This window comes from Homo sapiens, chromosome 5 (assembly GCF_000001405.40).
Source record: "Homo sapiens chromosome 5, GRCh38.p14 Primary Assembly".
In the NCBI taxonomy this organism is placed as follows: Eukaryota; Metazoa; Chordata; class Mammalia; order Primates; family Hominidae; genus Homo; species Homo sapiens.
Genome location: NC_000005.10, coordinates 25,146,642 through 25,161,256, shown reverse-complemented (window position 1 = coordinate 25,161,256; position 14,615 = coordinate 25,146,642). Strand labels below are relative to the sequence as shown.

The 14,615-nt window shown below is 33.9% G+C and overlaps 1 long non-coding RNA gene across 1 annotated transcript in view; it reads left to right on the top strand.

The window, feature by feature from the left end:
* The window catches only part of LINC02228 (long intergenic non-protein coding RNA 2228), a 64,352-nt gene that overhangs the window by 29,400 nt on the left and 20,337 nt on the right, over positions 1-14,615 (top strand). The gene's annotated exons all lie outside the window — the stretch shown is intronic.

Genomic DNA, 14,615 nt, shown 5'->3' with positions numbered 1-14,615 from the left:
CAATAACAAAACCCCCCACTTGTCCAGGAAATGCATATAAGGGCTGATCACCTGCCATTTTGAGTCTTCTCTGAGGTCACAGACCTCTGGAGAGAGAAACTGAGACACATAAGAGTGTGGAAATGACTCAGTGTTGATACACTGTGGAGTCCTGCCCACAAGCAGCACACATTGATCCACCACACAAAAACGCTAGGCCACAGCTCAGTTCCTCCTTTTAAGAAAAAGAGTGGAAAACAATCTAAGAATGAGGAGAAAACAAGGAGAATGACCCCCTTTCAAGCACTCCATAGGTTTTATGGCACTTCCACTTGCCAGGGTTTATGTAAAATGAAAGTAATATGGTCTTTGAGTACACTTACATTAAAGTAAAAGAGCCCTGAGGTCGACCTGCAAACTACAGACTTCCTAAGTTCTCTTTTTCTCTATTTTTCTTTTCTGCCTGCTTTAAATCTGCTGTTTTCTATTAAGATAAAAACCACTATTTGGATTCAAAAGGTTATTCTTGCAAGCCAGTGAATTTGTATTTATCTCATGGCTAAAGTTATGGAGTAAAAGATTTAGGATCTGTGTGTGTGTGTGTGTGTGTGTGTGTGTGTGTGTGTGTATGTGTTCATAATTTCTGTAATTTTATGTTCAATTGGCAATTAAACCCATTTTAATTTCCCTCTAGCATATCAGAATTTTTCTCACTGTATCTTATGATGTAAATTTTGCTCTTGGATTTTCACCTGAGTTATTTTCTTTAATATGCAAATTTAAGGCTATTTAGCTAACAACTACCTATGGTAGTAAAACAGGTTATCAAGACTGAAAGTTTAACAAAAAAAAGTTTATCATGAATCTATAAGATGTATTTCTATCAGCATGCCTAATACATTTATGTATTTATGTGTTGTTTACACAACATTTCACTACTGGAAAAAAGGAACTCTAATTAATTGGCTTAAGAAAATAAAAGCACTTGAATCAAATACTTTATCAGGAAAAGGGAAAAGACTACTCAACTGCTTTTTCAAGTTAACATAACTTAAGCAAAATCTTTAATAAATAATCTAGATTTAAAATTATTGGTTAAGTAATGTTAGAAATCTCTTAAAAATTGCCAGCAGACATTGTTGTTTACATTTAATCAAGCAATTTAATACTTATTCTTGCCAAATAATATAATGTGTCAAAATTTGGCATAGGGTTTGCAAAAGTATAATCCCAGCCCAAAGCAGAATGATCTTTGCTTGTGTAATCTTTAATAAATAAGACATTGATTTATTAACAATAACATTGGTTTTATAACAATAGCTACATCTTGAATTTAGTAAGATTACCATAACTTCTAATCTTGTGGCTTTAGGCAATCTAGTCCACAGGCTGTAAGGTTTGTTTTGAGAAGGAACTGTTAGTGTCTTTGTTTCAAAGCTAAAGTATAAATTAATTTCCTCCCAAAGTTAGATCAGCCTAGGCCCAGGAATGAACAAGAACAGCCTTGAGGTTAGAAGCAAGATGGAGTCAGTTAGGTCATATCTTTTTCACTGTCTCAGTTAAAATTTCACAATGGCAGTTCTATAACTTTAAATAATGAGTATCACAGTTTTCACAAATTATGTAGGTAAATGATTAAAATAAAATAATTAGGTAAACGTAACAGGATAAATACATGTAGAAAATGTCATAATTTAGAATCTAAAGTTGTATTAAATTTAATAATAGGTATTTCATTATATGGATATTTTCCAATAAAATAATACCCTATATACTATAAAAATATATTATATATTATAAATATCCAAATTATTTTATATATTATAAAAATATATCTATAAATATATATTTAGAAAACATTATTTCTAAAAAACATGTCTTTTTTTAAAAGATGAACCATTTTTTTCTATTTCAAAGCTTATTTAAAGCTAGGTAAAAACTAGGTAAAAGAAACCAGAAAATAAGAGAGATGTAAAGAAAATTATAAAAATAGTGATTTTTTTGGTAAGAAAGGTTAAAGAGAAATAATTTTATATGAGAAACAATATTATATGGTAGATTTATTCCTAGAATAAAATGGTTGTTTAAACAAGAGGTTATGTTCAGGACAAATAAAAATTTCAAGCATGTCATGAAGGGTCTTTATAAGTCATAAGTCACAATAAGAGGATTTATTAAAAAAAAAAGAAACCAACAGTGAAATTTTCTTAAGGAATTGATTTACTCTTAATAAATCATAGGAGATTTTAATTTTTTTTACCCAAGTTTAACTTTTATTGCATCTTGCCACTTTCAGGTTTTTCTCCCCTTTTAAAAGGCGCAAAATGATAATGTTCTCCTTCAACTCATTTTCAGCTCGTATAAGTCTTTTTTCCTCAATTTCTGTTTGTTGTGGTCTGATGCTAACAATGCTTTCTTAAATGCCCAAAGGAAATGTTTTCTTCAACATAATATTCTGTTCAGTGCACATGGTTTTTATTTCTGCCTTTCAGTAACTGGCCTAAAAGATATTTCATTTTATCAAAAGCAATTCCTATGCCATTATAAAGTTTTGGTTTGCTTAGGAAAAAAAACTTTGATAAAATTTTTATCTTTAATTAAGGTTATTAAATCTGTGTGTCTTTCTACATGTGCTTTTAAAGTTTTTGTGACATTGAGTTACAGGGCTTTGACTCCTGGGTCTAAAAAGGACTCCAAGTCCTGCTAAACTGTAAATACTGAGAGCAGTTAAAGCCTCATCTTCAGACCCAGTAGAAGATGCCTATCAAAATAAACTGCATTCTTGAGACGCAGGGCCAAAAATAAAGCAATTCAACAACTCAAGATCCAGGGACTCTCACAGAAAAAGTGGGCATGTGAGATTTTAAGGGCTGATCTTGAGATTAAAATAAGTTCAGTTTCTGTATAAAGTAGTCATTAATGTCAAAGGACACTGATGCAAGACGAGCATATGGACTCTTATCTCAAATTAACAAGGTTTTCTTCAAACTGTAACTATTAGCCCTTTGTCAGATGGATAGATTGCAAAAATTTTCTTCCATTCTGTAGGTTGCCTGTTCATGCTGATGATAGTGTCTTTTGCTGTGCAGAAGCTCTTTAGTTTAATTAGATCCCATTTGTCAATTTTTGCTTTTGTTGCCATTGCTTCTGGTGTTTTAGTCATGAAGTCTTTGCCCATGTTTATGTCCCGAATGGTATTGCCTAGGTTTTCTTCTAGGGTTTTTATGGTTTTAGGTATTACATTTAAGTCTTTAATCCATCTTGAGTTACTTTTTGTATAAGGTGTAAGGAAGGGATCCAGTTTCAGTTTTCTGCATATGGCTAGCCAATTTTCCCAACACCGTTTATTCTACTATAATGGCACATGCACACGTATATTTATTGTGGCACTGTTCACAATAGCAAAGACTTGGAACCAATCCAAATGCCCATCAATGATAGACTGGATAAAGAAAATGTGGCACATATACACCATGGAATACTATGCAGCCATAGAAAGGATGAGTCAATGTGCTTTGCAAGGAAACCATCATTCTCAGCAAATTAACACAATAACAGAAAACCAAACATCACATATTCTCACTCGTAAGTGTGAGCTGAACAATGAGAAGACATGGACACAGGGAGGGGAACATCACACACCAGGGCCCGTTGGGGGGGTGTGGTTCTGGGGGAGGGATAGCATTAGGAGAAATACCTGATGTAGATGACGGGTTGATGGGTACAGGAAACCACCATGGCACATGTATACCTATGTAACAAACCTGCTTGTTCTCCACATGTACCTCAGAACTTAAAGTATAACTAAAAAAAACCAAAACACTGACTTTTTAATAAAGATTATAAAGGTTATAAAAGGTTTATGGAGGTTATACCCTATGGTCGAGATTAAAATCTTACAGATTGTTTATAAAATTTCAAAAAACAAATTTAATTGGCTTCATGCTGTTTTTATTAGGTTTCATTATTTAGAAAATTAAGTCTACTCTCTCAAAGAAAGAAAGTTTTTGCCTTTTTGAAAAAATCCTTGAGTTATTTATTTGGTCAAATGAATAACTTATTTTACAATGACCTGTGACGTCAAGTGTTTTAAATCTTTGATATTTGACAGACTTTCCAAAATTAAATAAAAAATTCTGTCTTTTACTAATGTAATTAATCCTTTAAGATATTTGTGAAATAAATTGAAACCCTTTTAGTGTTTGGCCATTATGTACAATTCTAGCTTTGGTATTAAATAATATAGCTTATTTGTTCAATAAAATTTGCATGAAAGCTGCTACATGTTAGTTACTCTTCTTGGTTTAGAAAAGATTTTCAGTATACAACACAGATATCTTAGTTTATATTTCTTTAAAAGCAGAACCTGAGACAAGAACTTAGTTGCAGATAATTTAGTAAATACTCTGAAGGAGGAGTGACAGAGAAGAGCATTAGATAAGTAAGAATGAAAAACTGATATAAGGCTATGTAATCCAGGTCACTGGTTGTAGGCAATGAGAGCATAATTCTGCTAGGAATCCAAAGGCGGAGGCTGGAGTTTTTATCCACTGACTTCCATCTTTCATTATTTGAGGGTTACCTTTGGGGTCATTAACTTTACTATATTTATAGACTGTATTTATGCAGACTATTCTCAGCTTTGGGAAAGGTCCTGAGTACAAAAAGCAGGGAAACATTTGTTTTGGTCTTTAGATAATAACAGGAGTTTGAGTTCCCCAGTAGCTATCCACTTCCATTGTGGCTGAAATTGAAAAGGGCCAATGTGATGTAATATTGAGTATCAAGTGTGAGGGCTCTCGGAGGTTGATTACGCTATTACACAGTAAATTCATTTGATTATGCTATTACACAGTAAATTCTTCTCTGTCACATATTTTGAAACTGGTGGCTAGATCTAAGCTCTGAAAATATCAAAATGTTAAAGAAATAAACCACAGTATCTGCTGTTATAAGTGGCCCAAAGGCAGAAATTGATATCCTGTTCATCTCCTTTTCTTTACTGTGTTTCCATCTCTTCCACGAACTTGGCCACTGTAGCAGCTATTCTAGATTTTCCCTCTTGTGAAATAAACCAAGCATGTTTGCTTAGTCCTAGTCTATTTTTGATGCAATAATTGCTTATTCAATCTCACTGCCAGGGACACATCAGTCGATCCCCTGAGATCTAGAGATAATGACCTGCCTTGATTCTATAGAATTATAATTAGAGAAAATTGTTCATCTTAGTATTTCAAAATAATGATGCATAATTTTGTCTTCCAATGTAGTAATTCATTCATCTTATTCAGGTCTACTGGCATAAGAAAACTAATACAAAAATTGGTCATTCCTACTTTTACTTTTTTGGTTTCTCAAACTAACTACCCTTGTATACAGTATATTTTGCATCCTAGAGACTGGCACCCACTGCAGTGTACCTTCCCTGAGCTGACATCCCTGCTGAAACTTTAGTATACCATTTCATTATCTTATTAGGCTGGGTGTTGCTGATAAATATAATATATGGTTGGAACTGAAGACCCCCATCATTCTATGCTTATTGTTTTACCTCTTCTACCATAAAAATGCATTACTTGGCCTCAAGTGATATTATGCAGGACATTACATAATTAACTTATGCTTTCAGTAATTAGGCTTTCTGTAGGCCCCCAAATCATAGTATTAGCCAAGGCATTGTGAACAAAAAATATAAATACATTTTAAAATAAGAGTTTGTTCAGCAAAGATGAATTATGACCCACTTCTAGAATTGAAAATGTCCAGTAACTGACTTATTCTAAGTGGTTGCTTGCTCTAATGTAATGAATGGAACGTTATCAAAGGCTTAATCCCAGTCTCTACTGCTTACAGGTTGGGCACATAGCTTCAGTTGTCCAGTGGACAATGTTATGCATGATCTCAGGCAAGCATTGAAGCAAAAGAAAACCAAAGATGTGCATAATTTATTTCTATTTTTCTAGGTCCATCCACATGTCCCTTCTTTGTACATCTGATCTTTCTGTCTTACTCCATCCAGGTCTATGTGCAATCAGGTCAGCCATTCACCTATATCCAAGCATTTAAACACATTGTAATTCCAATAGATTTTCTACCACATAAATGGAAATCCAAATGTGATGCTCATAGCTTGGCCCACGAGGAGGATTACCCTTTCACCAAAGTCCTTTAAGGCTAATTCTCATTATGATTGTGTGTGCTAATGGTCCATTTATCATCTAGCACTATTATATTCAATTAATCCATCCACAAACCAGGTACAAAACTTTTCCTTCTTCATTAGTTGATCAAAATGAATTCTCCATGAGGTCATGGTGTGATCAGAGGAAGGGATTACAAAGAAACAATGGCTGGTGACATGAGGGTCTAGATCATGAGTGCCTCTGGATATACTTTGAGAAGATCCAAAATGCATTATTTTATTATGGGATAGACTGATTCTTGGTGCATGATGGAAGCCTTTGTCTCATAATCTCTTGATATTCTAAGATCCAGCACTCAGTCTCTTCTAAGGTCTTGTAGCACATCAGAAGCAGCATTTCAAATAGCAAGGCATTATCTGCTGCAGAGAACATGGCCTTGATAATGAACCCCAGTGGTTTCTGCTGCAACTCTTCTACAGGGGGTTTCTCACAGGGTCTTGGCCACCATGTGTACCTCTAGCACCATACTATATCCTAAGGGGAAGGGCCATTTTCACTGTAACCTAAACCTGCTGCAAAGCCCTCTTCTTCCAAATGACCCACTTAAAAAATATTTTCTTCCAAGTAATCTAATATAGAAGTTATTATTTTGTTTTGTTTTGCTTTTTTTGTTTTTTTGTTTTGTTTTTTTTGACAGAGTCTTGCTCTGTCGCCCAGGCTGGAGTGCAGTGGCACAATCTCGGCTCACTGCAAGCTCCGCCTCCCGGGTTCACGCCAGTCTCCTGCCTCAACCTCTCAAGTAGCTGGGACTACAGGCAGCTGCCACCACACCCGTCTAATTTTTTGTATTTTTTAGTAGAGACGGGATTTCACCATGTTAGCCAGGATGGTCTCGATCTCCTGACCTCGTGATTCTCCCGCCTTGGCCTCCCAAAGTGCTGGGATTACAGGCGTGAGCCACCACGCCTGGCCCTAATATAAAAGTTTAAGCAACATTCCCAAAAGCTACAGATGCTGTTTCCAACAGCTAAATATATTTACAAAATCTTGTATCTATTTCCTAGTAGTAGGTTATGCAAAGTGTATAATATAAACTTTACCTTAGAATGGATGCCCCAGAATGCCAGAGACTGTTGGACCCTGAAGTTTTGCTCTCATCTATGTTATTGTTGTAGCTTGCTAAGACATTCAGGGCACTTGCCACTTTCTATTCACTAGGTTCAGTTAGCACAATGCCATCAATTTATTGGATTATCATAGCATTTCCCAGAATGGAAAGTTGATCAAGTCCTTTGTGGACTATACTCTGTTGGAGTGCAGAGGAATTGACATATACCTAAGACCTAGGAGAAGATGTGTGTTTGCACACTTTTCCTGTGCTCCTGCTAATACTGTCTTTCCACATACACATAAAATGTTTTTAAAAATCTACTAAGATCAAGAAGGACAAAAGAACATATTTTCCAGACTATTGCCACATATAAAGTACTAAAATTGATCTGTTCCAATAAAAATCCCAAATCTAGTATAAGAGTAAATTAGATTCACCCTTGGTTAAGTTTACAGCAGTCCACTGTCATCTACCAGCTCTTTATTTTTTTGCAGCGACCCTTACAGTTAAATTAAACAGGGGAATAAAGAGAATAACTACCACCACCAATTCTTTAATTGTTTGAAGGTAGTATGAATCTCTGTAATTTAATTCTGATATTAAATATTGTTTCTGATTTATTGCCCTGGCTAGGAAAGTGTTGGGGAAGCTTCAAGGATTTATATTTGATCATACTTAACGTGCAATACATAATGAATCCTATGATTACATATTACTACAGAAATCAGGTAACCAATGTGCAGGTTCTTTGAGTAACTAAGTCTATCCATCTCAACTGTGCACTCAGCATCTGGGGAGATAACTGTGGACTGGAATCTGATTTCAATCATGTGTCTGTTAAGTACTTGTTCTTCATGAGCACTCAATCTAATTGAAGAGGGAATTTTGGTATGCTTGTATCAATATAACCTCAGACTTCAAGTCCAACAGCTCTTAAAAGTTCTGGATAGTGTTCTTTTCTTTGTATACATTCACTATGGTACATGGCTGTAGGTTCTTAATATTTGTTATTGATACTTATACTGTCATTGTAGAGTCCTTCCTCAAGTTTGTTATGACTCCACTTCAACAGATGGGCTCTGGTTCTGAGAACCAGCTCAGACTGGGTAGGTGGGTGAGAAATTGTGGGTTTTCATCACAGTAGCTAATGCCAGTCTTCTGCTTGCTAGTTCAGGATTTATTCTAATTGCAAAACCAGAAACACCCTGATTGCCTATCCATTTCACCCCTAGGAAAATCACAGTCTGTTATATATCATAAGAGACTCTCACATAAAAGACATCCTGCTTGTCCCTCTGGCATTGCTGCTAAATTCAGTTACCATACCCACATTATTTCTAATGAATAGATGTCACCACCTAATCTGAGATATTTGAGAATAATATTGTCTCATTAGCATTTGGCAGACTAGTTTCATGGCACCTTTTCCTACTAACAACTCTGGCCAAATCATGACAACAGTCACTGAGACGTTGGATGTCCTAATCGATAGTGCATGCTAATAGCCTTTGTGAAATGAGGACAGCATCTCCAACTCATCTACTAAAAGCCATCTCAGCAGCAACATTTAAAAAATTCCTCTCCTGGTGTTCTTGTCTGAACCTTAAGTTTGGATTCACAGGAAAATGATTATCTCAGCCACAACTCCCACTTCTGGTCAAAAATTCTCAAAATTCGCTCCCACACACTTTCCCTCTTCTGCTAATATGTGTTTGCCAGGACTTACAAATCTTCAGGGAGTAATCTGACTCTAGTGATTGGTCTGGAAGTCTTAAGAGAGATAGGAACAGGGTAAGAGGAGGACAAGCATCATCTTCAGGAACTTCTGCCCAGATTAGCATTTCTAATGTCTCCAGACAATGAGTGGCTACTGTTCTCCTATAAGAAGAGGATTTTGTTTGTTTGCTTTTGTTGATCTGGATGTTTTAGGAGAACTTTAGAATTAGGGGGTTTTTGTGACCCCTTCAGAACATCCCCATTAGATGTCTAAGGGAACTACTCCTGCCTAGGAGGCCCCTGATTTTAACATAGGAGTCACGTTGAGCTTGGCATACACTTCCTTTGGCAACTCTGCAGGCCTTAAAATTAAGTTGTGTGTCTGGTTTTTAATAATCTGCCTTGTGATTGTAAAAGACGAGGGACTCTGTAAACTGTCATGGAGGGATTCTGGATTTCACTGGCAACTTTGAGATAATAGTTGGCTGACATGAATCTGCCACTTGCTTTTTTCAAGGCTTTTAAGGTAAGTTGACAAAAATTATCTAATTCTACAATATTTATAATTCCCATTGCTCTAAAATTGTTAAACTGTTAGAGTTTCTGGACAACCCAAAACTTTTCTTCCATATGTGATTCGATGGACTAAAATTTAAAGTCTTTGTAATGTTGAAATAATAGCATAACAGAAGAGGCGTCACTACTCACTTATTAACAATAATAGGAACCTGTTGTCATCTAGCCAGTAAGGTCCAGTTCCAGAATTCCATAATGATGGTCTCTTTCCTAAAACTAGTTTATTGCCACTTATTTTAGCTTGGGTTCCCGACAGTAATTTATGAGACAATGACTTGGGTGCATATCTCAGTCCCACATCACCTATTTGTTTGAATTTGGAAGGTGATCCATATAGGAATGAGGAAATAGAAAGACTGAGAAAAGGCATAATACAAAGCTAATATTAGGTTGTATCTTGGGGATTTTTTTTTTTTTTGGCTTTGGAAAGAATAGCTCAATTCTTGTAAAACTATGGAAGCATAAAGAATGACCTTAAAAATTGCCCATCCTTAGGACAAGTCCTGGACCTACATCCACTGGCTCCTATCCTCTGTTAGTTGAGGATTTCCCTGGAAAACTTAACTTTCTTATGCTTCAGTGTTGATCAAGTAGGCTCCCTAGACTTTGGAAAAGACTGTGAGATTAAAAAAAAAAAAAAAGCAAGAAATTGATGGTAAGAAGTAGAAGTAAAGTAGTGTCAAAATGATTGAGCTCACAGGAAGTTGTGCAATGTAGCTGGGGCTGATCCCAGGGCAGTCTTAGAGATGTGAGGAGATACAAAAAGTAACATTTTTGCATGGCAGTTGCAATCCAGAGAGCAATTAATTATAAGTCCATCTCTCGTTTACTAAAAGTATGTAATTTTTGTTTGAGTATTTTAGTCTTAGTTTGAATTTGATCAACATACTTTATCAAAAATATATGTACAACTAATAAGACAACTATACATTTTTCTTTTAAATGAATGCTATGGTGCATTATATCACCACAATTACTAATGACAATATGTCATAATCAAAGTGAAGACAACCTGAGAATTATGTACTAGTGTTGAGTCTATAAGAGTGTCATTGTGAAAATATTTTAAAATGATTTCTTCATTAATATAATTTTGTAACACTTATCAGCACTTTCTTGGTTTTTGTTTTATTTGTTGTTGTTTGTTTGTTTTTGTCACACTTTTAGTAACAGAACCATGGCTTTGGAAAAGGTAATGCAAAAATATCTTATTGCCTGAAATGGTAGGTGGTAAAAGTGAATATAATAAAACTCCTCAGGATATTTTCAGTGTCTTTAATCAATATACATAGCTTTCTTATTGCCTTTCAGTATATTTTGATACTATATATTTTTATTTGAAAACATTAATTTCATTTGTTTTATGAACACTATTTTTAAAGTGTGTAAGCGGCTCATTTATTTTACTTTTTTCTAGGTGTTTCTGATTTTTCTTTGCTTTCAATTATAATTAATTTAATTTCATTTATAATTAATTCTATTTGTGTTTTTATTTCACTTCATTTTGTATTACTGCATTTTTTTGTGGAGGAGACAAAAATTTAGGTTTTCAGATGGTTAGATTTTGGCATTTATTTAGCAGTTTAGTTATTGAGCATTTACTTAGTAATGGACTTTTAACATTTCATTCATTTCTAATTTTATTTTTATTCATCCATAGATTATTCTTTATGATGTAATTGTTTATAATTTTTAACTATTTTGGAAAAAATTTCATATATGTTTTCCCATTTTGGTGTATTTAGAAATTTTAGATATTATGGCTATATATTTTTTTCTGAGTGAAGATTTAGCCTTAATACATGGCTATGTAGCTAGTGATTTTAAATTGTAATGTTTTTAAATCTTAAATTTTATCTTTTAATTATTTTTAACAAAAATATTAAAATTATTTTGTGCATATGTCTGTGTGTGATGGAATTTTTTAGTTTCAAAAATAGTTATTTCTTTGTTTACTTTTAATTTTCAGATTTAGCCTCTTTGGTTCAAGGGCAAATTTCAATATTTCTAATATTCATGTGCTCTATTTATTATTTATTTATGTAAACATTTTTACAGTTATTTTTATTTATTTAAAGTGTATATATTTTTAATTGTATTCATTGATTGAAGTAAGATATGCATATAATATAAAATTTTCCATCTTTACCACTTCATGTGTATACTTCAGTGGTAACAAATACATTTATATTCTTTTTTCCCTCAATTTCCCTTTCTCCTTAGCCTTCTTAGACTCGTAACCATCATTCTACTCTCTAGCTTCATGAGGTCCACTTTTTTAGATCTGACATATGAGTGATAGTACACAATATTTGTCTTTCTATGCTTAGCTTACTTCTCTTAACATAGCATAGTGGCCTTCAATTTCATCCATTTTGTTGCAAATCATAGAATTTTATTTTTTCATGGCTAAATAATATTCCATTGTCTTTATGTACTACATTTTCTTTATCCATTCATCCATTGATGGACACTTTGGTTGATTCCCTATCTTGGCTATTGTGAATAGTGCTGCAATAAACATGGGAGTGCAGCTATCTCTTTAATATACTGATTTCTTTTCTTTTGACTATATACTCACTAGTGGAATTGCTGGATTATATGGTAGTTCTATTTTCAGTTTTTTGAAGAACATCTATATTGTTCTCCATAATGGTGGTACTAAAATACATTCGCACCAATAATGTAAGATGGTTTCCCTTTCTCCATATCCTAACCTACATCAGTTATTGTCTGTGTTTTTGATATGGTACATTTTAAGACAGGCAACATCATATCACATTGTGGTTCTGATTTAAATTTCTCTGATGATTAGTGATGTTGAGTGTTTTTTCATATACTTATATTAGGTATTAGTATGTCTTCTTTTGAAAAAAAGTCTATTCAGAAATTTAGCCCATTTTTAAGTTGGATTATTTGAGTGCTTTTGCTTTTGTTTTTTTGCTGTTGAATTGTTTGAGCTCTTTATATATTCTGGTTACTAAGCCCTCATCAGATAGATACTTTGCAAATATTTTCTTTCGCTTTGTAGGTTGTCCCTTCACTTTCTTGGTTGTTTCCTTTTCTGTGTGTAAGCTTTTTAGTATCCTTTTTTTTTTTTTTTTTTTTTTTTTTCCTTTGATTGACTGTGCTTTTGAAGTCTTACACACAAAAAATTTTTCCCAGGCCAACAACCTGCGGCACTTCCCCTGTGTTTTCTTCTAGTAGTTTCATAGTTTAAGGTCTTAGATTCAAGGCTTTAATCCATTTTGATTTCATTTTTGTGTATAATGAGGAACAGTGGTCTAGTTTTATTCTTTTGCACATAGTTATCTAGTTTTCCCTGCACCATTTATTGAAGGGACTTAATTATCCCTATTATATGTTCTTGGTGTCTTTGTCCAAGAAGAGTTGGCTGTAAATGCATAGATTTTTATTTGAGTTCTCTATTCTGTCCCATTGGTCAATGTGTCTGTTTGATGACAGTACCATGCTGTTTCAATTTCTACAGACTTGTAGTAAATTTTGATGTTAGTTGCTTTGATGCTTCCAGCTTTGTTCCTTTTTCTCAAAGATATTTTGGCTATCTGGAGTTTTGGTAATTCCAGATAAATTTTAGAACTTTATTAATAATTTCTGTGAAGAATATTATTATTTTGATAGGTAATGTATTAAATCTATACATTGTTTTGGGTAGTTTTGTCATTTTAACAATATTAACTTTGTTACATTCTATGAGCATGAAATTTCTTTTTGTGATTTTTAATTTCTTTCATCAGCATTTTATAGCTTTCTTTGTATAGATCATTCATTTTTTTGTTAGGTTTATTTGAAGTATTTGATTTTTTGTAGCTATTGTAAATGGGATTACTCTCTTGATTTCTTTTCACATTGTTTGTAGTTGCCATATGTAAATGCTACTGATTTTTGTAAGTTGATTTTTTTTATCTTGCAACTTTACTGAATTTGTTCATCATTTCTAAAAATTTTTAGTGGAGTCTTTAGGTTTCTGCAAGTATAAGATCATGTCACCTGAAAACAGAGATAATTTGAATTTTTCCTTTCCAATTTGGATGCCTTTTATTTCTTTCTCATACCTAATTGCACCGGCCAGAGCTTCCAGTACTATATTAAATGAAAGTGGTAAAAGTAGGCATCCTTGCTTTGTTTCAGTCCTTAGAGGAAAGACCTTCAATTTTGCCCCATTCATTATGATGCTAGTAGTGTCTTTGTCATATATGATATTTATTATTTTGAGGTATTTTCAATCCGTAACTATTTTGGTGAGGGTTTTTGTCATATAAAGGGATGTTGAATTGTATCAAATGCTTTTTTGGCAACTATTGAAATAATTATGTAGTTTTGTTCTTGATTCTGTTAATATCATGTATTATGTTTATCGATTTGCATATGTTAAAACATTTCTGCATCCCTGGGAGGAATCCCACTTGATCATGGTGTATTATCTTTTTAATGCGTCTTTGAATTCAGTTTGCTAGTATTTTACATCTATGTTCATCAGTGATTGCATCAGTCCGTTTTCACACTGCTATAAAGAATACCTGATATTGGGTACTTTATAAAGAAAAGAAAGTTTAATTAACTCACAGTTCCCCATGTCTGGAGAGCCTCTGGAAACTTACAATTATGGCAGGAGGGGAAGCAAGGCACATCTTATATGGTGGCAGAAGAAAGAGAGCACTCGGGAGGAAGTGCCACACTTTTAAACCATCAAAACTCATGAGAACTCATTATCACAAGAACGGCATGGAAAAAAATCTGCCCCTCATGATCCAATCAACTCCCATCAGACCCTTCCCTAAGCACATGGGGATTACAATTTGAGATGAGATTGGTTGGGGACACAGAGCCAAACCGTATTAGTGATATTGGCCTGTAGTTTTCTTGTTTGTTGTATGTCCCTTTCTGGTGTTGGTATCATGGTAATTCTGGACTCACAGAATGAGGCTGAAAGTTATTCCCTTCTCTTCAATTTATTTGAAGAGTTTGAGTAGGATTGGTATTAGTTTATCTTCATATGGTTGGTAGAATTCGGCAATAAAACCATCAAGTTCTGAGCTTTCTTTTTTTTTTTTTTTTTGAGACTCTTT